Genomic DNA, 22,653 nt, shown 5'->3' with positions numbered 1-22,653 from the left:
CTGCAGCTGGGACAAGCAGCTCAGGGCTCTTGGACACAGGGTTTTGGGGCGGGCAGACCTGGTGCCTCTTGGTGCCTTCTGACCTTGCCCCTTTTGAGCCCTAAGAGCCCTCCCCTGTAGCACTTTAGATCATGCAGAGTTTCTGGAACCAATAGGCAACTTGAGGAAAGTGATGCCTGGCCACACCAGAAGGTTGTTTCCCATTTGACCACCACAGTGAGGTCTATGGGTGTTTAGTGTACCCTGATAGGCCCCTCAAGGGCAGCCTGGTTACTACCCCTGGTTCTGGGTGGCCTTTCCTTCCCTTTAAGGTACATCCCTGAGAACCTAAGAGCTAAGCTAAAGTGAAGTTTTGAGTAGAGGAGCAACGTCTACTTCTGCCCAGCCATGGAGAAGTGGAGCTTTCATGGGATCAGAGACAGATTGGAGCACAAGTCCTTTGGATAAAGGCTTCTTTATCTAGTGCTCTGAACTGGATAAGAAAGTCCAATCTCCTCTTCGCCATCCAGCAGGGCGCTCCCCCATCTCTGCCTCACACCCTGGCTGCCCCCACCCAATTCAGAGCCTTGCTTCTCTTGCCTGGATGCCCAGGCAGCAGCCACAAGGCCTGAGCATTGGGCCTGGAGCTTGGAAAGCCCCCAACCCACCCCGAATGTGCATGCATCTCTGTGGCCGCACCCGCATGTGTGTGTTCGTGCGTGTGCGTGGACCTGCACGTGAATGGGTGGGACAGGAATCACTGCTGGAGCATGTTGCCCTCTGTCTGCCCATCCAGGTTACTCCTCACTGCAGGACGAGCTGCTGTCCCCTGCCTCCCTGGGCTGTGCACTTTCCTCTCCGCTACGTGCAGACCAGTACTGGAATGAGGTGGCCGTCCTAGACGCCATCCCCTTGGCGGCCACGGAGCATGACACCATGCTGGAGATGTCTGACATGCAGGTGTGGTCTGCGGGCCTCACGCCTTCTCTGGTCACTGCTGAGGACTCCTCTCTGGAGTGTAGCAAGGCTGAGGACTCTGATGCCACAGGTCACGAGTGGAAGTTGGAGGGGGCACTCTCAGAGGAACCGCGGGGCCCCGAGTTGGGCTCTCTGGAACTTGTGGAGGACGACACAGTGGATTCAGATGCCACAAATGGCCTTATCGATTTGCTTGAACAGGAGGAAGGTCAGAGGTCAGAAGAGAAGCTGCCAGGTTCTAAGAGGCAGGATGACGCGACAGGTGCAGGGCAGGACTCAGAGAATGAAGTGTCTCTTGTTTCAGGCCATCAGAGGGGGCAAGCCCGAATCACACATTCCCCCACCGTGAGTCAGGTGACGGAGAGGAGTCAGGACAGGTAAGAGCTTGACTGTGGGAGCAGGGTCCCTTTTTGTCTTCTGGGCTCCTGGGTAAGATTATGCCTGGCAGTGAGGACAGAGGTGTCGATGCCAACCCTGACCCTGGGTTCTAATTGCACAGGAGCACATACATTCAGTCTGGCAGATGCCATATATAAGAGCATAGGTGCCATCTGCAAAAGCCAGTGCCTCCCCAAGACCCCACCAGGTATGCCCGGCAGGAGAGACCCCGAGGAGCACTGGGAGAGCACACATAGGGACATATGGGCGCCGGGAGGGCTCACTTAGGGACATTAGGGCACCGGGAGAGCTCACTTAGAGACATGAGGGCACTGGGAGGGCTCACTTAGGGACATTAGGGTGCCTGGAGTGCTCACTTAGGGACATGAGGGCACTGGGAGGGCTCACTTAGGGACATTAGGGCACTGGGAGGGCTCACTTAGGACATCGGGGCACCGGGAGGACTCAGGGACATCGGGGCGCTGGGAGGGCTCACTTAGGACATCGGGGCACCGGGAGGACTCACTTAGGGACATTAGGGTGCCTGGAGTGCTCACTTAGGGACATTAGGGCACTGGGAGGGCTCACTTAGGGACATTAGGGCACTGGGAGGGCTTACTTAGGACATCGGGGCGCCGGGAAGACTCACTTAGGGACATCGGGGCGCCGGGAGGGCTCACTTAGGGACATCGGGGTGCTGGGAGGGCTCACTTAGGGACATCGGGGTGCCGGGAGGTCTCACTTAGGGACATCGGGGTGCCGGGAGAGCTCACTTAGGGACATTAGGGTACCTGGAGTGCTCACTTAGAGCCATTAGTGCACGGGAAGGGCTCACTTAGGGACATTAGAGCACCAGGATGGCTCACTTAAAAGAGCAATCATGAGGCTGGGGAAGACCGTGGGTCAGCTGCTGCTGGAGCTGGCGTTCGGAGCTCCTCTCCCCTTGCGTGCTTCCGGTTGAAGGCCATATTTAGTTGAAGACCATATTTAGAAGCACCAGTACCCAGGGAAGTTATTTGTGTGCAGTCACACAGCCTGCATGTGACGGAGCTGATAATGGCGCCCTCCCCACTTACCCCCTTTGAAGGAGGGGCTGGTGGGCTTAACTGGGGCAGGACGGAGCTTTCAGCTGTAGAGCAGTGGGTGCTCTCTTCCCCACGCTTCCCGCACTGAGAAGCCCCCGCCCTGTGCCGCAGCAGAAAAGCAGCGTCGGCAGGTCAGGAGAAGGTGATGCATTTCCCAGACACTGCAAGTCTGCGGCCGAGGACCGGCTCACCTTGGAGCTCTCATCGTCCCATCTGGGCCAGGGCCTACACCATGCCCCTCCGCTGAGTGCAGGGAAGGATGCCAAGACAAGCCAGGCCCTTGCCATTGTAGAAAGAGATGAGACAGACATGAGATGGGGCTCACGTTGTCCTCCTGGGCTAGCACAGGAAGCGGATGACAGAGGAATCCCCTTTCCTCCAGGTCACCTTGGCTTGCTGAGTTTTCCCTAAAGTAAGGACATGGTTCTTGTGCCCCCAGGCAGCTGTTCCAGGCCCCCACCCCAAGGAGCTCAGGACTGGTCAGGTAAAGGAAAGCTGTTCTCATGTCCTTTCCCCACCTGTGTGACCCCTCAGTCCCACCTGTGTGACCCCTCAGTCCCACCCTGAGGCCCAGGCTAGTGGGGCCATTCCACAGGATCCATGCAGCCTGGCCCCAATACCCTAACAGGAAGGGAAAGGAAGTCGTTTGGAAGTTGAGACAGCAAAGATTTAATTTTTTTTCCTACACAAATCTTTGGATTCATGGGGAGGATTGAACAGATGGAGCTTAGGCTGGTTTAAAGTGAAATAGTGGCCTTCCCGGGAGAGAGACACCTTCCTGGGACGGCCATTCCTTCAACAAGCATTTATTGAGCACCTGCAGGGGCTGCATGCTGGCCCCTGCATTACCGCAGCAGTGTTGCTAACTGGGTTCATGAACGCCTGGGCTCTAGGCCTATTTTGTCACTTCCTGGTGCTGTGACCTTGGTCAGCCTTCTCATGGGGACAGATGAATTTCATCCACTTACTCAACAATATTTATTGAGTGCCTACTGTGTGCCAGGCACCAATAAAGAGTGCCTGGGTGCCAGCATTGAATGAAACAGAAAAAAGTCTCTACCTGCAAGAAGCGTGGTTCTAGCAGGGAAACTAACTAGAAACAAGATAAAGTAAATAAAATTAGAAGTCATTAAAACAGAAATTCTAGATAATACGTGCTAAAAAGAAAAATCAAGCAGAGAAGGAGGACAGGAGGTAGGCGTGTGTGTGGAAAGAAGGCTGACTGGAATTACAGATGGGTGGCCAGGGGAGGCCTGCATGAGTGCCAGCTGAGAGACTTCAAGGAATTGAGGGTGAGGGTGAGGACATCTCAGGGAGGATGCCCCACAGAAGGCCTAGCCCTTTGAAGGAGACCGTGCCTGGCACGTGCCCTAACAGAGTAACCAAGCCCATGAAGCTAGGGAGGGAATGGTGAGCAGGGTAAGCTGCACCTGCCTTGAGAGGAGGCTGGCGCAACCTGGCAGAGAAGCAGGAGGTGTGTCGGGAGGAAAGGGCCGTGGGCTTGTGGGCTGGGACGGCAGCGGTGGCCGTGCTGAGAGGTGGGCGGGTGCAGGGCATATTTCAGAAGCATCTGCTAACAAATACAATGTGGGGTAAGAGAGGAAGAGAGGGGTCAAGGAGGGCAGTGGTGTCCTCGACCTGCCCACTGCAAGGATGAAGATACCAGGGATGGCAGCAGGGATGGGGTGGGACAGGCTAGGGGAGAAGATTTTGAGTGTGGATTGGATCGCACTGTCCTGGAGATGCCAAGTAGAGATCCAAAGTAGACCTGTGAGCCAGAACCCATCTCTACAAAATTTTTTAAATAGCTGGACGTGGTGGCGTGTGCCTGCAGTCCCAGCTACTCAAGTGGCTGAGGCAGGAGGATCGCCTGAGCCCAGGAGTGCAGAGCTGCAGTGAGCTGTGATTGTACCACTGCACTGCAGCCCGGGAGACAGAATGAAGCCCTGTCTCAGAAAACAACAACAAAGTAAAGATGTGGAGGAGGCAGCGGGGTGCACACAGCTGTAGGTCTAGGAGGAGAGCCAAGCTGGAGACACACATCCAGGCACGCTGAGTGTAGAGATGGGCTTTGGAACCATGGGATGAATGAGCTTGCTTAGGAAGTGGATGTGGACAGCGGTGAGGTCTGAGAACTGCACCCCGGGGTGCTCCTATGTTCAGAAGTCAGGAAAGCTAGGAGGAACAAGCAGAGGACATGGAACAACAGCGGCCAGAGAGGAAGGGGGAGACGCCAGGCTAGCACCTTCCAGGAGCCACGGGAGAATGTGTCTTGAGGGGGAGAGAATGACCACCTTGTCAGATGAGGACTGCTGAGTGGGAAGGGCCTGGAGAGCAGAAGGAGGTGGTGGCAGAGTTTGAGGATGTGGGATGAGAGTGTGGAGGCCCCAGTGTTTGGACCATTAGGGTGAGCCAAGTGCTCTGGGAGCCCCAAGGGCAAGCTGTTCACCCACAGGGAGGGACCAGTGGCCTTTCCACCTGGACAGCATTAGATGGGCCACGTGTACCCCTCTGAACCACAGCAGTGAGGTGAGCAATGTGCTCATGCGCCCCTGACCTTTGGAGGGATGGGAGGACGGTCTGTGTCCTTGATGAGCCAGAGCTCTGGGTGGGGAGAGTGTCTAAAAGGAATGAGACTGATGGGTGACCAGGTGTCTTTTCTCTCTCCCCGGCCGGCCATCTGCTGCTTCTTCTGGACCCCAGACTGCAGGACTGGGATGCAGACGGCTCGATTGTCTCATACCTGCAAGATGCTGCACAAGGTTCCTGGCAAGAGGAGGTCACGCAAGGTCCACACTCATTCCAGGGAACAAGTACCATGACTGAAGGGCTAGAGCCCGGTGGATCTCAGGAGTACGAGAAGGTCCTGGTGTCTGTAAGTGAGCACACGTGGACAGAACAGCCCGAGGCTGAGAGCTCCCAGGCCGACAGGGACCGGAGGCAGCAAGGCCAAGAAGAGCAGGTGCAGGAGGCCAAGAACACCTTCACCCAAGTGGTGCAGGTGAGAGCCCGAGGGGAGCTGCGTGCTGCTGTTCCTTCCCAGCATCGGAAGGGGCCGGGACTCCAGGGCTGCCTCTCAGGCACTCAAGCCCTGAGCTAAGCATATCCCCTTCCTTTAACACTTGTGGTGGTGCTTCCGTTTCTCTAGAAGTCAAGGGCAAGGCCTGCCTTTCTGCCTCCTGGATCCCTGCTAAGGCGCCTGTACCTGTTGGGCAGCTGCTGATCAGAGTGGCTGAGCAACTTGCTCAAGATCACAGTTTCAGAAGTGGGCTCTAAGCTGGGTCTCGCTGACTCCAAAGTTGTGGCTTTTGTTGGTTTTCTTGTTCTGTCGCGTTTTAGAAAGGGCTAGGAACCGAGCACTGGGCGTTGGGCTTACTCTCCTCCTATGGTGACCTGGGTGACGTGCCCAAGGCGCTCTCTTCCCAGCACCTCAGGGTCCTCACTGGTAAAGGAGGGAGTGATTGGAATGTCGCCAAAGTTACTTGGCTCTGGAATTCTGTGGCTATTCACGTGGACTCTGGATGGCGGTCACCAAGTAGAAGAGGGGCCCTGGGATAGAGAGAAGTCTCCTCTCCTGCTCCTGATTTCCCAGGCCTCTCCCTCTCCTGGCCCTCCCTCCTTTCTTCCACTTCCCCGGATTCCCTTCGAGTTTGTTGAACTTTATTTTGTTCGATTCAATCCCCCTTCCCCATTCCCAGGCCCCATGATGATCTACTCGTGGCCAATCTTGTTTCATCTGCACCCCCCACTTTCTCCCACTGACTATTATTTGGAAGCATATCCTGGCCATCGTATTAATGGGTGTCTTTTCCATTTGTGTTCTTATAAAACATGCACCACTGTTCTCCACATGCGTGTGTTTAGTATGTACATGAACGACATGTTCTGTCTCTGTTTTCACGCCTCATCCAGGCATGGTGCTTCCTCCTCTCCTCTCCTTCCTCTCTTTCTTTCCTTGTCTCCCTTCTTTCCTACCTCAACCTTAGACTCCAGGACTAGGGTGGCTCTGGAAGGAAGGCCCTGAGCTGCCAGCCATAGAACTGCTAGGAATTCAGTCAGGTTTTATTTAGAATGCTCCCCTGCCAAGTATGTGCCCCGGGCAGGGCCAGCGCCTGTGTGCACTCCTCACCACAGGCGGCCCGTCCGTTTCTTCCATCAGGCCCTCCTGGGCGCCTAGTTCTCCTGCTCCCAGAGCACACATGATCTTAACTGGGTCTCTTCTCCTGAATCCCTGGGGAAAGAGAAAGACGCCTACAGCACTTTTTTCCACTGCCCCTCTGTGGTCAGCCTTTGGTGAGGGGAACTGGAAGGGCCTTCTAGATCACACATCCAACTCCCTCAATTATAAATGAGGGCACTGTGGACCAGAGGAGCCAAGGGCTTTCTCCAGGGTCACACAGTGGACCAATGTCAGGGACCAGGAGGGTCCAGATCCCTCAGTTCCCAAGCCCTACATCCTCACGTCCAGCATGCACGTGCAAGGCCAGCATGCCCAGCCTGGAACTGGAGACGCCGATCAGAGGGCCTGGCAGGCTGCTGCCGGTGCCCATCTCACAGGCCCCGAGGGCTGATAAGGATGCCCTTGAAGGTGATTGATGGTTTGCAAAGCACCCACTTATTAGTATTTCCACTGGACCTCTGAAAACAGTGATGGAGATAGAGAGATTGCATGTAACTTGGGACTTGGGAGGTGGCCTGAAATGACTGTGACCCAGCTGATTTCTCTGAGGACTTAGGAGGAAATATCTGAAGTTGGACTCTTCTTGACTGGGCCAAAACCAGATGCTTCCCCGGCTTCTTTGCACATACTTTTCCCCGTGCTTTCTTGTTGAAATAAGCAGCATTGTGGAGTGAGAGGCATTTGGAATGTGACTCCTCCGTTTACTTACTCCTCCACCTAGGCAGAATACTTTGCTTCTGTTTCCTTTGTGTAAAATGGGAAGACGATAGAACCTCCTTGGTTAGGACTGTGGTGAGGTGTCAGTGAATTAATGCGAAATCCACATAGAACCATGCACTATCACAAGCGTTTGCCATTATCATTCATAGTGTTAGCATTCATAAGCGGCATGATTGTCCCAGCAGCCTTGAGAAAGGGTGGGGAGAGCACTTTAATCCGTGCTTCACAGATGAGGAAACTGAGGCACAGAGAAGGTCCCCAGCCTTCCCAAGACCCCACAGTAGGTGAGTTGCAGGGTTAGTCTGCTGTGTCCCAGATCTGTGTTCTTTCTGCCATGCTGCATTGCCACTCAGAGAGGAACAACCTGATCTAGAAAGTGAAATTTTTTCCAGCCGCAGCTGCTGCGGCTACATTTGTGAATCAGCTCTGTAAATACAAGTTTAATACGCGTTGTTCCTGCTCAGTGGGCGTTGATAGCCCAGCCCTGGAAGAGCCTTTAAGAACAGGCCTTAAATAGACACACCAGCTCCATGCTTCAGTTTTGGGAGGCTGTACCCCATAAAGGAAGGGTGCAAGGGCCTGTGGGCTGACAGGAATTACAGACCGGCTTCCAGGTGGCCCCACCACCTGTGCTGGGCCCCTGCTGGGCTCACTTGACTGTCCCTGAGCCCATCACTCACCCTTTTGGAGCAATTTTTGAAACAGACCGCTAAGTACCCAGGGTATTAGCTGGTCTCATCCCTACCATGCCGGGGAACAGCATTTGGATCACCGCAGTAGCAGCCCAAGGAGACACACAAGTAGCTGCTTTCTCGGACTGTATTATTTTCTGAAAGTAAGAAACTTTCCCTGGGCAGAACTCTTTCTAGTTCCCATGGGGATGGGCAGGATAGGTGAGAGGCCGAGCCCCCACTTCCAGGTCTCTGGGCAGGGCGGGGTTAGGCAGCAGCGGGTGTCACTCACACAGTGACTTTCACTTGTGCTTTCAGTGCTCAGGACATGGGCACCTGCCGGCTTCCTTCTAGCCCGGTTGGACAGCTCCGGCAGCTGGTTTGGGGAGGTAAAATTATAGGAGCGTGATGTCACCCGGGCCACTCAGGGCAGAGCCTGGCTGCTGGGCAGAAGGGCACTTGGGCCGGGCTGCTTCAGCCGAGAGGGCCATTCGGTGTCCTGCCCACAGAGAGAGAAACAGTGAGAGACCAAGAGAGCAAACCAGAGAGATAGGGAGGGGGAATGCAAGGGGTCCCTGGGGGACTCAGGAGTCCCAGTGGAGAATGAGAGGCAGGCCCCCCGTGGTGGCCGGGGCCCTGGCTGCCAGAGGACCGGGCTGGTGAGGAGGCGAGGATGTGGACTTTCGTCACCCAGCTGTTGGTCACGCTGGTGCTGCTGAGCTTCTTCCTGGTCAGCTGTCAGAACGTGATGCACATTGTCAGGGGGTCCCTGTGCTTTGTGCTAAAGCACATCCACCAGGAGCTGGACAAGGAGCTGGGGGAGAGCGAGGGCCTCAGTGACGACGAGGAGACCATCTCCACCAGGGTGGTCCGGCGGCGGGTCTTCCTGAAGGTAACCGCCTGGCAGGAGGCCGGCAGGGCTGGTGGTGTGGGCGCCGGAGGCCGGGGCTGAGGGGACGCTGCTGTGGGGAGCTCCGGACCCAGAGTTGGGAGACGCCGGAGGAAAAGGACCAGGAGGCCCCCAGGGATCATGTTCCACCCTGGGAGCCAGAGTGTGTGTGCGCCCACCAGAACCTGCCCTCTGGTGCCCAGTGCATTGTGACAGTGACATTAAACACTCAGCTTTGGGTCTCGGGAGGCTGCGCTCATCCTGTTTCTTTCTTTGTTTCTTTCTTCTTTCTCTCTCTTCTCTTCTCTTTTTTCTTTTGTTTTTAGAGATGAAGTCTTGCTGTTTAGTCCAGGCTGGAGTGCAGTGGCATGCTCATGGCTCACTGTAACCTGGGCTTACTGTAAATTCCTGGGCTCAAGTGATCCTCCTGCCTCAGCCTTCTGAGTAGCTGGTACTACAGGCACACACCACCATGCCTGGCTATTTTAAAAAAATTTTTGTAGAGATGGGGGCTCGCTATGTTGCCCAAATTGGTCTTGAACTCCTGGGCTCAAGTGGTCCTCCGGCCTTGGCCTCCCAAAGTGCTGGGATAGCAGGCGTGAGCCACCATGGGATTGCACCCGGATCGTCCTGTTTCTGTCACCAACTGGCTCTGGGGTTTCAAGCAAGTCACATTCTGGGTGATGCTGCCTGTCGAAGGGCTTTTCTATACTGCAAAGTGCTGTAAAAATAGGAAACAGGTGCCTCACTTCCTCTCTCAGGGCCTCCTCCGTCAGACTTGCATAATTGCCCCCATTTTGCAGGTTCCCAGGGGGTGTTGTGAGGGCCAAGTGCACAATTGTGAGCTCGACCGTTCGTCTTCAGGCCTCCCAGACCCTCAGGGGCGCCGCCCACGCCCTGGGAGCCCTGGCATGGCTCCTGCTACATGCTGAGCCGGGTTTCCTGCTGGGGGAGTTATTGGGCCATGGCTATTGTGGCTACTGCTGTTTCATTTCCTCGTCCTCCACCCTTCCTCCCAGACTCCCACTCACCAATCTTGCATTTTCTCCCTTTCTCTAATTCCAGGGGAATGAGTTTCAGAATATTCCAGGGGAGCAGGTGACAGAGGAGCAATTCACGGATGAGCAGGGCAACATTGTCACCAAGAAGGTGGGTGCAGAGTGTTCCCCTCTGTGCTGGGGAGAGGCAGGTGGGCTAGAAGCTAAAAGGTGGTAGAAGCCAGTGGCTTCTCCCTGCTGCCCTCACAGCAGGTGAGCACAGCCAGGCTGGCTGCCCCCGTGCTCAGGAGGGATGGAGGGCCCAGGAGCTGGGAGCTTTGGTCATCTGCAGTCCAGTCATGGTGTCCTCACAACCGCTTTGTCTGAGTCAACCTGAATAGCTTCTGCTGCTCTTTTCCAGAAGGGCCAGCCCCCAGGAAACATCCCAGACCTAGTCCCATGATGCCTAACCCTGAAAACAGCTGTTAAACAAGCAGTTTGAGCATCCCTGGCCTACCATGGGCCTCCTCAAATAAAAAGAATGTGGGCCGGGTGTGCTGGCTCACACCTGTGATCCCAGCACTTTGGGAGGCCAAGGCAGGAGGATCGCTTGAGCCCAGACATTTAGACCAGCCTGGGCAATATGGCAAGACTCCATCTCTAAAAAAAATTTTAAAAAATAAATAAATACACACACACACACACACACACACACAGAGAGAGAGAGAGAGACACACACACACACAAAATTAGCCAGGCATGGTGGCGCATGCCTGTAGTCACAGCTACTCAGGAAGCTGAGGCAGAAGGATCACTTAAACCCAGCAGTTCAAGTCTGCATAAGCTATGATTGAGCCACTGCACTCCAGCCTGGGTGACAGAGTGAGACCCCATCACAATAATTAAATAATTAAAAGGAAGTGAAAATGCATTGGATTGGTAGCAGATATTAACTCAGAGACATGACCTTGCCTGTCAAGTGTGGGGCACGGTGCTAGCTATGGGTAAAATAGAGGAGGAGCTGAGGCAGGATCTCGAATGTGCTTCTGCTTAGGCGCAGCTCTCATCACCCTTGAGCAAGGCTCCTTGTGCGTCTGTCTTGCCTCCTGCACTGTGAGCTGCTTGCAGGCAGGGACAGTGTCTCACTGATGTTTCACCTCCCACTCAGAGCACACGGCAGATACAGAGTAAAGGGTTTGAAGATTTGGACAGGTGAATACGGGAATGGGTGGGTGAAAAAGAGATGCCCTCTGCCCTTAGGCTCATGGGAGTAGAATGGGGAAGAGCACAAACTCCCATCCATATCAAAAAGCAAAACAGAAGGCTGTGGGCTCGAGGGGGAGGTCACACCCAGTCACACCTTGGTCATGAAATGACACTGCCAAGGCCCCTTCAGGGCTGTCTAGCAGAGGGTTTTCCATTAAGCAATGGGGCAAAGGCTGTCCCTCTTCTTGGCCTCTCAAGGAGGGGCTCCTAGGACAAAAGCTACCTCCCCCTCGGAGCTCATTCCTGGGAACTGCTGTTCTGAAGCTCTGTCTTGAGGGCTTGACCAGCCCCCCCGCCTTTTTTTTTTTGACACAGAGTGTTGCTCTGTCAACCAGGCTGGAGTGCAGTGATGCAATCTCAGCTCACTGCAACCTCCATCCACCAGGTTCAAGTGATTCTCCTGCCACAGCCTCCTGAGTAGCTGGGATTACAGGCACCTGCCACCACACCGGGCTAATTTTTGTATTTTTAGTAGAGACAGGGTTTCACCATGTTGGCCAGGCTGGTCTCAAACTCCTGACCTCAGATGATCTGCACGTCAGCCTCCCAAAGTGCTGAGATTACAGACATGAGCCCCCGAGCCCGGCCTGACCAGCCCTTTCCTCCTTCCCTTCCTTTCCTAGATCATTCGCAAGGTGGTTCGACAGATAGACTTGTCCAGCGCCGATGCCGCCCAGGAGCACGAGGAGGTGACTGTAGAGGGGCCCCTGGAGGATCCCAGTGAGCTGGAGGTCGATATTGATTACTTTATGAAACACTCCAAGGTACTGAGGCGCCCGCGGCCCTGGGGGACCCAGCGCCATCACTGCTGCCTTGCTCTGCCGGGCCGTCTGCATGACACCTCCCTCCACTCACCTCTTTATGAGCTCTCTCTCCAGTCTCTCTTCTCCCTGGTGGGCAGTGTGTCTGCCACCTCCGTGTGGCCTCCTTTCGATCTTCTGCCTGTGTTCTGCCCGTCTTTGCGATCTGTCCTGCTTTCTGTCTCTGCTGCTGTCTGCAGGTGGAGCTGAGAGGGAGTGGCCTACAGCCGGACCTGATAGAGGGCAGGAAGGGGGCGCAGATAGTGAAGCGGGCCAGCCTGAAAAGGGGGAAACAGTGACCCCGAGCCGCTCTCCTTGGAGTAGCCTCTCGGGAGGTAACGCTGCCCTTCTCATCCCCTCTGCATGGCCTGGTCTTCAGTGGAGTGGCTGCTCCCTGTCTCACCCTATCCCCTCCCAGCCACCCCAGCATGATGTGGGACAAACAACTTGTTGTTGTGTCTCGAGGCAGAGATTCTCACTTCCCAACCCTGCTAACAGTTGGCTCTGAACCCCAGCTTCCTCATCAAGGAAACAGAGTTAATAATATCCACTTATCAGGGACCGCACGGTTTTGTAAGAATGCCTTTTGGGCCGGGCACAGTGGCTCATGTCTGTAATCCCAGCATTTTGTGAGGTCGAGGCAAAAGGATTGCTTTAGGCCAGGAGTTCAAGACCAGCCTGGGCAACAGAGCAAGACCCCATCACAAAAAAAAGAAAAAAAAAAGCCAGAAAGAAAAAAATGCTCTTTGAAAAGTAAAAGCACTCTGTAAATCTAAGTGGTAATATTATCTTGGAAACCAAGCAATGGGGATCTAGAAAGCAGTGGACAGGGCATTGAAGAGGACAGGAGAGTTGGTCTGGGCTGTGATGCTTCAACATAAGAGCTCCAAGACTGAGGACTGGACTGTCTCTTGAACCTGGAGCCCAGCTACAGTTCTCACCAGGCCAAGGCTTAGCTTCTCTTTGGTGTTTTGTGAAACACGTTGCTCCCTTGCTTTCTAGGAAAGGGCTGAGCCGACAGGCCTAAGGGGTGGACGACGTGCTTTCTGCAAGTCAGGAGACCGTCAGGGTTGGGGCCGGGGCCTGGGCTGTGGTGCATGTGTGTGAGCATGGGGCAGTGTGGCCACAGAGCAGGGGCATGCCGTGCCGTGCCGTGCCATGAGGAAGGGACATGAAGACGCTGTGCGACCATCTCCAGCAGGTGTGTGTGGTGCTGGGGGCTTCAGCGGCCGGCTCTGATCTCCATCCTCCCTGGGGCATCCTGTACTGAGCTGCCCCGAGGCCCTTCATGCTGCCCAGCTCGGGGCAGCTCAGTACAGGATACCTCGGGGTGGGAGTCAGCAGGAGGTGAGGGGGCATGGTGGCCCCAGTGCAGCACTAACCAGGCCGTTACCATTCACACCCCAGGGCCTGACTCTGGGACCGAGCAGCAAGGAGGCTCTAGCTTTCTGCATTCGGCAAAAATCAGGGCCCGCTGCCTCCTGAGCCACCAAAAGTGCTGACTCTGGGCTTCCCAATATATCTCAGCACTTGGGCAAAAAAGAGGACTGGCAGATCCAGTTATAGGATAAAATTAGACCTGACACCTCAGCAGCTTAAGGAGGTCACCGTGTTAACCCCTGCACTGCCAGGGGTCCCACTAGGCTGCTGGTTTAGAAGACTCTGAGTAGCTGCTGTTGGGTCCTGGAAAGAACCCAAAGATGCAAATAATGTTTAAAAGCAGCAAAGGGAAAGGAAAAGTACACTTTTCTGACTTATTTTTCTTATGGTAGCAGTGGCGGCTGTGGCTTTAAATTTCTCTTTGGCTCAGGCTCTATGGATGCTCCTGAGTGGGAGAGAGGCAGCCCGAAAGCCAGGCTAGGGGGAAGGAGGGAGCCTTGAATTTCATTTTAATTTGCCGTAAGTGATCTGCAATGTGGCTGAAGCCCCCCAACCTCAGGTGATTAAGGACCGGACCACACTAGCATGGGTGTCAGAAACACGGAGCAGCCTGGCTCTGGGACAGCACTTGGCCCTCTGTCAGTGACAGGCACAGGGACAAGTGTGAGGGTGGCAGGGGGGTGGGGCGGTGGGGCGAGAGCAGTGGTGAGGGAGAGGCGGAGAAAAGCTCCTGCCAAAGTCCCAGAGGGTTAGGGGACAGCATTAAATGCCCTACCCTCCCAACCAGGGCAAAGGCTACAGAGAAGACGGTTGAGGGCCCAAAGGCTTCCTAATTTACTATCCGCATCCCCGACAAGCATGTACAGTCGATCCTCATCATTCACGGATTCTGCATTTGCGAATTCGTCCACTCGCTAACATTTATCTGTAGCCCCAAAGCTGGCACTCACCGTGCTTTGGCTCATTCATGGACACACACACAAGGGCAGAAAGTTTGAGTCGCCCAACCCGTGCAATCCCAGCTGAGGATGAACAATGCCACACTCTGCCTCTGTGCCTCATACTATAAATAAGTGTCCTCCTTGCAGCTTGTGTAGTGCCACATTTTTCACATTTTTGGTTTCATTGTTTAGAATGGCCCCTGAGGGCAGTGCTGAAGTGCTGTCTGGTGCGAAGTGCAAGAAGGCTGGGATGTTCCTTAAGGAGGGAATGGACATCAGATAAGCTCTGCTCAGGGATGAGTTAGAGTGCTTGTGGTGGTGAAGTCAGTGTTAATGAGTCAACCCTATATATTACATAAGGCGTCTTGAAACAGAAACGCATTTAACACAAAGTTATGTATTCATCAGTTGACCAAAATATTGTGGCCAGAGGCTCATGGGAGCCTAACCTTGTATTTCCCTTAGGAGCAGTGGTTCAGTATTTGCTAATTCCGTGTTCACAGCGACTATTTATTTATTTATTTATTTATTTATTTATTTATTTATATTTTGAGAGGGAGTCTCGCTCTGTCGCCCAGGCTGGAGTGCAGTGGCACTATCTCGGCTCACTGCAACCTCCATCTCCCGGGTTCAAGTGATCTTCCTGCCTCAGCCTCCTGAGTAGCTGGGATTACAGGCATGTGCCACCACCCTTGGCTAATTTTTGTATTTTTAGTAGAGACGGGGTTTCACCATGTTGGTCAGGCTCGTCTCGAGCTCCTCACCTCAAGCAACCCGCCCTCCTCAGCCTCCCAAAGTGCTGGGATTACAGGCATGAGCCACTGTGCACAGCCTCAAACAGCGACTAATTTATAGAACAGAGCTATGGCAAATGGCTGTATTTGTTTCAGAGAGTGAAAGCTGGAGCTTGTGAGTCTAGAATCAAGGCCTCCTCCTGCTTCCAGGTTGTATGGCCTTAAGTCATTTAACCGCCCTAAGCTTCAGTCTCCTCAAGGGAGGATGAAAATGTCCCTTTCGAATGTGCTACACTTCAAGAAAAAGGTTTAGAAATAATAATGGTAACTGTGAGCACTGATGTGAAGAGAGTAAATAAGAACATATATGCTCTGGGACTCAAACAATTGCAGGTCTTGTTTGTAGTGTGACTCGGAGCAAGTCAAATGACTTCCCTAAGCCTCAGGTTCCTTAGCCATAAACTAGCAATAATGCCAGCATTTCCCTTGTAGGATGGTTATGATGGTTGCTGAGTTTATGTTTGTGAAAGGGCTGTCTAGGGCCGGGCATAGTGACTCATGCCTGTAATCCCAGCACTTTGGGAGGCTGAGGCAGGAGGATAATTTGAGATGAGCCTGGGCAATGTGGTAGGACCCTGTCTCTACAAAAAAAGTTTAAAAATTAGCTGGACATGGTGGCATACACCTGTAGTTCCAGTTTCTTGGGAAACTGAGGTGGGAGGATCGCTTGAGCCCAGGAGTTCAAGGCTGCAGTGAGCTATGATTATACCACTGCACGCTAGCCTGGGCAACAGGGCAAGACTCTGTCTCTAAATGAAATAAAAATAAAGAATGAAAGAGACTCTTTTCTAAGCTTTTGAAAGGTGAGGGGACCCAGGAGAAGAGGCCAGAACAATGCAGGAGTCCTGGGCAGAGTGAGGTGGCCTAGGTCCTCATCTCACCCCTGCTCTTGCCACTGTGCCTCTAGAGTCTCAGTTTACCAAGGGATGAAATGGGCAGTCATGCCAGCATGATCTCTGAGGTCTGAACTTTCTCTTCTGCTCAGTGCCTGGGCGGTAAAGTAGATGGGAGATCCTAGCCTGTCTTTCCCAGGCTGCATATTCCATGATGGTCTCTTATTTGAGGAGCACTTCTTGGGGCAGGCACCGTGGGGAGCACCAGGAGGCTGTTCTTGCCCTCAGTGTTTCTAATCTAGTCAGGGAAATATGCAGACATCAAAAAGCACAGATGGACAGAGACGGTAACATTTCTAGAGAGCCAAGTAATTGTTTGCATTCATACAATGCTAAGCACCTATGTGTCTTAGCTTTTTTAAACATCACACCTCTCTAATGGGTAGGCCCTATTACTGCCCTCATTTTACAGCAGAGAAAACTGACTCACAGAGCAGGTAAGGCACTTGACCGAGGTCAGGCAGCATGGGACTTGAACCCGGGTGGTCTGGCTCCAGAGTTCATGCTCTTACCCACTCGACTCTGCCATCTCCTGAACAGAAAAGGCAGCTTTTTTCTTTTTTGTATTTTGTATTTTTACAAAATACAAAAGGGAGAGCTTCCAGAGTGGAGAGGGGCCTGCTCCAGGAAGGATCAGGAAGGTTTTGTGGGGTGGAGGTGTTGAGGGCGGCAGGCAGAACCTCTGCAGAAAAGAGAATGGAAGGCAGCCTTGACAGAAGCGTGACCGAAGGCAGAGAACAGGAGGGTAGAGCGTGTTCAGAGGCTTAGAGGAGACAGTCAGACTTGGCCGATGTGATGGCCCAGCAGTGATGAAAGCATCTTCCCTCTACGGTGGCAGCACTGTCCACCCACTGCAGCAGCAGTTCCTGGCTTTACAGTTCTACAGCAGCCCCTGGCAAGGAACCTGGCACCACCCTCCCATCCCTGGGGAACCACCCAAGAGCTGAGTTCTCCCTACTCCCTTCCAACACTCCTCCCCAACCCCTTCACCTGGAGGACCCAAAACAGCTCTATGTCTGGGGATGGCTCCACCTCCGAATGAGCTCCTGCCTCCCTGTGTCACTTCCCACCCTGCCCAAGAGATTGTCACCTCCTCCTTATTGAAGCATCCTCCTTTCCCCAGTGGTCCCAGGGCCCCTGCAGATAGAACATGAGTGGCTGGTCTTGAAAACATGGAGTTTTCACCCCAGGTTGGAGGCTGGAGGCCCCATGGGGGCAGGAGAGGTTTCTCACTGCGAATCCCAGGCTGAAGAATGTGGGCTTAGTTCCTCCAGCAAAGCTGCTCTTTTCCAGCCTAAGACTCAATACAGGAGGAGGAGAGGAGGATGCATCTGCTTTTCAGAGATCTCTGTCCATCTGAGGGGCATGGGGAGAGCAGCCAGAGGCAGCGGTCAGGAAGTGCTGTGGGCCAGAGCTGAAGGGGAGCTGTCACCCTTGAGGCATGAGCTCCCAAGGCCAGGGAGCACATCCGCTCCATCCCTGGGTTCCCAAGGCTGGCGCATGGCGGACATCAGTGCATGTTGGCAGAGCTGAACTGAGAAAGTGAAGGCCTCACCTAGCCTCACCTAGCCCCTTCTTGGCACAAGCCCTGGCTCAAGAAAAATGGCTCTTCCTAAGTACAAGGATCTGCTGGGGGATGTCTCCCCAGGTGACCACGTAGGCACGGGGGCCTCTGCCCCTCTCCAAGGGCACAGAGCACAGTGCTCTCCTTGGCCCATACAGAGAGGCATCCTGGAACACTTGCACACTCAGAAGGAATTCATGAGGCCTGGGTGGCGGCTCTGAGGAACAGCCTCTGCATAGGGAGCAAGAGAAGGAGGGCGGCATCTCAGGAAGTCGGGCTGCAAGTGCAGCACCCTCAGCACATCGCCCTGCCTGGGGAGACTGCTTTTCCTGAGTCAGATTCGGCCTGAGCTGCCAGCACAAAACTCTGTGTGTGGGGTTTTTGCTGGACGTTGCACTTTTGCATTCTAAGTGACTCCTTCTCTCTTTGTGTCTCCCAGGATCACACCTCGACACCCAACCCCTGAACCCCACACACTCTGCCATGCACACAGGAGGAGAGCTGGACCTGAGGGCCACCGCAGCGGTGCACACATTCCTCTGGGCTGACGGCATGACCTCTGTAAGGGACTCCTGCTAGTCCCCTCTTGGCATGAATGACTGACTGTAGACGCATGACCTCCAGGCTTCAATCCTGCCTCTTGCAATGACAGCTGATCTGTCGGAACCAGGACACAAAAGCAGCAAGAAGCGGGGAGAGAGAGGGATAGAAAACAAGCGCAGGAGAGCCTGCGAACGCAAAAGTGAATGAGGGCTTTTTGTGGCTGGGGATGGGTTTTGGTTTTGGGGTTTTTTTTTTAAATTGTTTTGACTTCGTACAGGGTACTTTTTCCCAACCTCATCTGTCAGAAATCCATGTGGGCTTCCTGGAAAGAAAAAAAAAAAAAAGAAAACTAGGCATGAAATCAGTTTAACACCTTAATCTTAAGCCATGTCCTCATCTGCCCACCCTCCCCAACCCACATACCTCCATTCCACTTGTGACACCCCCTCGACTCCCTGGTGACGCTCCTCCCAGATCGCTCTACATGACATTCAGGACACACACACACACACACACACACCACTCGCCTCCACTGAATCTACACACAGATTTTACTGTGACTTCTGAAGCTGTATAGACTCTGCTGTGGATAAATTGGAATTTTTTATGTTGTCTCTCTCTCTGCCAATTTCAATACGAATCATCTTCCAATGGAAAATCATTACCTTGAAGAGTGCATTCGGGGTTCCTTGTGTTAGGGACTTAAGAATCTGAGGCGAGGACCCCCAGGCTTACCTGTAGGACTCAAAGGGAGCCAGGACCCCATCTGAAAGGGTCTCCTCTCTCAGTTGGGGGACAGGCCGGTGGCTGACCCAGGATTGCACCAGCATGTCCATAGAGAAGAGGTTTTCTATGTCTTCAAGCACTATATCATAGTCCGTGTTCAAAGTGTAAACTGTACAGTAATCAGCCTTGTGTATATGAAAAACAATAAATACTATGCAAACCAATAGAAACATTTAGCAGTACGTACAGAGCCTGACAGCGCAGCTCCTGAGGACTTCTGCGGCTGCAGGAGAAGGAGCTGTGGCCTGTCTTTCAGTGAAAGAGGAAGGAAAGGAGTAGGGCTAGTGAATGTATCTGCCAGGTCTTAGAAGTCAGGACCACCCAGGGTCTCCCAGAGTGAACTTGGTGCTCTAAGTCCAGGCAGCCTGCAGGCTGGGGACCCTGGGTGCAGGTGCCAGGCTCGAGGCTGTTCCCTGTCCTGCCTCAGTGCCTCCCCTCTGCCCAGCCCCTGTGGCCTCTTGGAGAGGCGAGCCAGGGGGCTCCCCGGACCGCATGGCCGGTGAGAGTAGAGTCGGAGGCGGAGAGCCTGGACGCCCAGAGGCCGGGGCCAGGCTCTGGGTCAAGGCAGGAAGGAGACAGACAGCTGGCAGTTCCTCGCCTCGGTGCCATCAGGGAGGAGCCTTAAGTTCCACTAGAGCCTCCGGCCCAGGGAGGCCAGAATCAGCACAATCCCGGCCCCGCCCTCGCGGCGGGCGCCCCCAGGGCCAGGAGAGAGAGACAGGGCTGGCTCCTCTCGCCCCTGGAGCCGCGGTGTGGACGGCCCGGCCCCGTCCGCCCCGCCGCTCTGCGGGAGTGTCCTCGGGACACACTTAAACCTTCCAAGTAGCACAGAAGCCCCCTCCACGTCAGAGGCCCCCTGGCCGCGGGGCCTGTGAGCGGAGAGGGGCCCTGCTTCCCACACAAATCCGCCCCGGTGCACCCCCGGCCAGGCAGGCCCCGGGGCGGCCTAGGCGCCTTGTCGGCCGGGGGTGGGGCTGCTTTTGCTTCCTTTAGAGGGGCGGGCAGGGAGAGGAAGCTCTAGCTCCGGGCCTGAGTTTCCCCGAGGCTGCGTCGGAGGAGCTGCAGGGCGAGCCCGGACGGCTGCCGTCTCCGCCAGAGGCCACCCCGGCCCGGCCTCCAGGGCGCAGAGGCGCCCCCCTCCATCCTCCCCCATCCCGGGGGCCACGGCAGGGGGGCCGCACAGCGCGGCTGGGACCGATTCGGTGACGGCCCAAGGAAGCTGGGCTCAGGGCTCGCCTCTCCCGCCTCGATCCTGCACCTTCCTCTCCCAGGTCGCTGCTGCAGCCAACCCAGTAGCCCCCTTAGCGCCCCCGCGGACCCCGCAGCTCCAGACTCCGCTTTGGCACCTCTGCTCCGGCTGGCATGGCTGCACGCTCCGGCTGCTAGTAGGAGCCGTTAGGGGAGGAGTTTGGGGTCTCCACACGATGCCTAGAGAATGCTGCAGTCTGCACATTAGACGCTTTTTAGAAGTTTTGAAATTACCTTGATTTTTTTAATTGTTATGAAAATGGATCTTTTCTTGACTCTCCCACATGCTCTGTTATGGGAGAGAATCCCCTACCCTACTCTGATGTATAGACCATTCTCCCTTCACCAGCCGAACCAATGTCAAAATTAATAAAGAAATGGACTAATGGCACAGGGCTCTATCTCTCCTTCCCGCTCGTCTTTGGGGGGTTAGGGGTGCTGAGGCCAGCGTAAAGCCTGGGTTGTGATGTGAAGGAGTCTATGGGTGGGGCTCAGGTCCCAGAGAGCCCGCCAATGCCCAGTCCTCCCAGAAGCCTGGACAACCCTTTAATCAGGACCACCCACCTGAGAGATGCCTCCAGAGAGGTGGCAGAGTAGCTTTCTGTTCCACCTGATGGCTCCCATGAGATGGGGAGAAGTTGGGGGTCTGGGGAGGGGCCACCACAACCCACCAGGGTTCTTGGCCAGGCCCCCAGCTGGCATGCACTGAGGGGGCCCCCCAGCATTCCCTAGGAAGGCATCTGGCCCCAGTACTCAATGCCATTCAAAGTTCAAGAACTTGTTCTTGCTGTAGGGAAAAAATTGCCCTATTCCTAACTAGTTGCTAACACTTCCTGCAAGGCTGGTCACCAAGCTGACCTCAGTTTCCTCATCTCTCTAATGGGAGAATGGATTAGGTGGTTGCTAAAGTCTCTTCAGTTTCTCATCCTAGGGGCGCCAGACACCAACGCCTTTGTCAGGCTTGGCATTAATTAAGAATCAAATCATTGGCTGCGGCTTTCCTGCCACATAAATTCCCATCATGAGGGGATGACGGAGTCACAATCCCAAGGCCCCTGGAGCACCCCAGCCCCACCCCACTCCCAGCCTCTCTCCTGGAATCGGACAGGCCGTTCAGGCCAGTGGGCAACCGCAGCAGGTCATCTGCAGCACCCATGGGGCTTTTAAAAATGCAGTTTCAGAATCACAGTTGCCTGGGGGGAATTGGGTGGTGACACCGGGAACCAGAACCAGGTCTACCAGATGGCTGTGGCACGCGACCTGGTGGCAAAGCCATCTCAGACGAAGACGTAGCTCTTTTCTCTTTAAACCAAATTTGTAGGGAATCATTCCACACCCTTTGTGAGATCTTTCTTGCATAACCTAAATCCCTGTGCTACAGAGGGTCAACTTCTGCATGAGAAGGAATCCTGCCCTGAGCCTTGGGTCCTCTGCTCCCCACTGAAAACCAAGACGGCCTGGAAACCCAGGAGAAGCTCAGTGAAGCAGTGCCTCTAGTCTCCCACCTACCAGGGCGGCCTCTGGGGAGTGAGAGAGCAAGCCCTGCAGAGCCCACGCCTGGTCAGGAAGGGCTCTGGGGCCACCAGGCACAGAGAGGAGCAGAAGTCCATCTGTCTGGCAGTCACAGTCTTTCCTAGCATTTTACATGTTCAGGCCAGTGGCATGCTAGTTTCCAGTTTTAGAGAAAAACTGCAGGGAAGAATCCTGCCTGGTCCAGAAATCACCCATGTACCTGGAAAGTGGGCTCCAATTCCTCTATACCTTGGTTTTCCTGTTTGTAAAATGAGAGCTTCCCCCAATAGAGCCTTGTATGTTGTAAAAATTTATTCGAGAAAAAAAAAAGCATATGCATGTTCTGTGATTCAGCCCAGTCCACTGCATCAACTACTAACTGAGCACCGACGGAGTGCCCGGCACGGGGCTCCACCACCCTCTCAGCCATCAGGGATTTCAAACCCGGGCACCACGCCAGACAGAGCATGGCCATTGCTCCAGCAGAGGCACAAATGAGGAAGAGATTCTGATAGGGAGGTCACGGAAGGCCGACCAGAGGTGGAGGCAAGAACATGCGTGCAGGGCGGCCCTCTCTTCAGCCTCCTGCAGTTGGAGGACTCACACCCCGGCACTGTCAGGGCTGCCTACGCCCCGCGCTGCCCTCTTCCCAGCAGGCTCCCACCCTAGGCTCTCAAGCCAGCCACAGGGACTTGCATCCCCCAGAAAGCAATGCCACTCAGCCTCTTACCCCATCCCCGCACTTACCCCCATCTTATGCCACTTACCCCATCCCCGCATGCGGAAGGGAAGGAAGCGGCTGCGTTCTCCTGTGGAGCTTGGACATGTGCACATAAAGGGGCCGGCGCAGCTCCGGACAGTGGCCTCTGAGTCCAGCCTCCTCTTCCCTAGGGGAGCAGCTGTAGGAACAGTGACTTCCAATTGCCTTGGGAGCCTCCAGGGGCCCCCAGACGCTCACCTTTTCCTAGATGCTAGACTTGCGGGGAGCAAATGGACCCTCCGGCGATGAGTAGGGCTTCTAGAGCTAATTCTCTGTCTCTCTCTCGCGCGCGCGCGCATACACACACAC

At 54.6% G+C, this 22,653-nt stretch overlaps 1 protein-coding gene and 2 non-coding genes across 10 annotated transcripts in view, besides 6 other annotated features; 2 read left to right on the top strand and 1 right to left on the bottom strand.

Moving 5' to 3' along the window:
* Positions 1-20,463, top strand: part of ANK1 (ankyrin 1) — a 243,517-nt gene extending 223,054 nt beyond the window's left edge. For 2 of the 8 annotated variants that reach the window (NM_001142446.2, NM_020475.3), the window contains 5 exons: positions 776-1,334; positions 5,124-5,421; positions 9,946-10,029; positions 11,747-11,812; positions 17,935-20,463. In NM_001142446.2, the coding sequence (NP_001135918.1) occupies positions 776-1,334; positions 5,124-5,421; positions 9,946-10,029; positions 11,747-11,812; positions 17,935-17,961 (1,034 nt within the window). In that variant the 3' untranslated portion in view covers positions 17,962-20,463. Of the gene's footprint in view, positions 1-775; positions 1,335-5,123; positions 5,422-8,413; positions 8,884-9,945; positions 10,030-11,746; positions 11,888-12,123; positions 12,259-17,934 lie in introns of those variants that run through there. The other 6 variants (NM_000037.4, NM_020477.3, NM_020476.3 and 3 more) reach the window with 6 other exon arrangements.
* Positions 13,180-13,247, top strand: MIR486-1 (microRNA 486-1). The gene has a single exon (NR_030161.1). It is a non-coding gene; the product is annotated as a microRNA 486-1 (primary transcript).
* Positions 13,181-13,244, bottom strand: MIR486-2 (microRNA 486-2). Its single transcript, NR_106984.1, has one exon. It is a non-coding gene; the product is annotated as a microRNA 486-2 (primary transcript).
* Positions 17,201-17,734: an enhancer, noted in NCBI's record as "H3K4me1 hESC enhancer chr8:41513473-41514006 (GRCh37/hg19 assembly coordinates)". NCBI's record gives its function as "activates a minimal SCP1, AML or CMV promoter by ChIP-STARR-seq in naive H9 embryonic stem cells {active_cell/tissue: H9 hESC(naive)}" and the evidence as "EXISTENCE:reporter gene assay evidence [ECO:0000049][PMID:30033119]".
* Positions 19,534-19,873: a silencer, noted in NCBI's record as "silent region_19149". NCBI's record gives its function as "represses an Ori minimal core promoter by ATAC-STARR-seq in GM12878 lymphoblastoid cells {active_cell/tissue: GM12878}" and the evidence as "EXISTENCE:reporter gene assay evidence [ECO:0000049][PMID:35858748]".
* Positions 19,534-20,354: a biological region, named in NCBI's record as "H3K27ac-H3K4me1 hESC enhancer GRCh37_chr8:41510853-41511646".
* Positions 19,561-20,354: an enhancer, noted in NCBI's record as "H3K27ac-H3K4me1 hESC enhancer chr8:41510853-41511646 (GRCh37/hg19 assembly coordinates)". NCBI's record gives its function as "activates a minimal SCP1, AML or CMV promoter by ChIP-STARR-seq in naive H9 embryonic stem cells {active_cell/tissue: H9 hESC(naive)}" and the evidence as "EXISTENCE:reporter gene assay evidence [ECO:0000049][PMID:30033119]".
* Positions 19,894-19,963: a silencer, noted in NCBI's record as "silent region_19148". NCBI's record gives its function as "represses an Ori minimal core promoter by ATAC-STARR-seq in GM12878 lymphoblastoid cells {active_cell/tissue: GM12878}" and the evidence as "EXISTENCE:reporter gene assay evidence [ECO:0000049][PMID:35858748]".
* Positions 19,984-20,033: a silencer, noted in NCBI's record as "silent region_19147". NCBI's record gives its function as "represses an Ori minimal core promoter by ATAC-STARR-seq in GM12878 lymphoblastoid cells {active_cell/tissue: GM12878}" and the evidence as "EXISTENCE:reporter gene assay evidence [ECO:0000049][PMID:35858748]".

The sequence above is a fragment of the Homo sapiens genome, chromosome 8 (assembly GCF_000001405.40).
Source record: "Homo sapiens chromosome 8, GRCh38.p14 Primary Assembly".
NCBI lineage: Eukaryota > Metazoa > Chordata > Mammalia > Primates > Hominidae > Homo > Homo sapiens.
The sequence above is the reverse complement of the archived record's forward strand: the minus strand, read 5'-3'. Positions and strand labels throughout refer to the sequence as shown.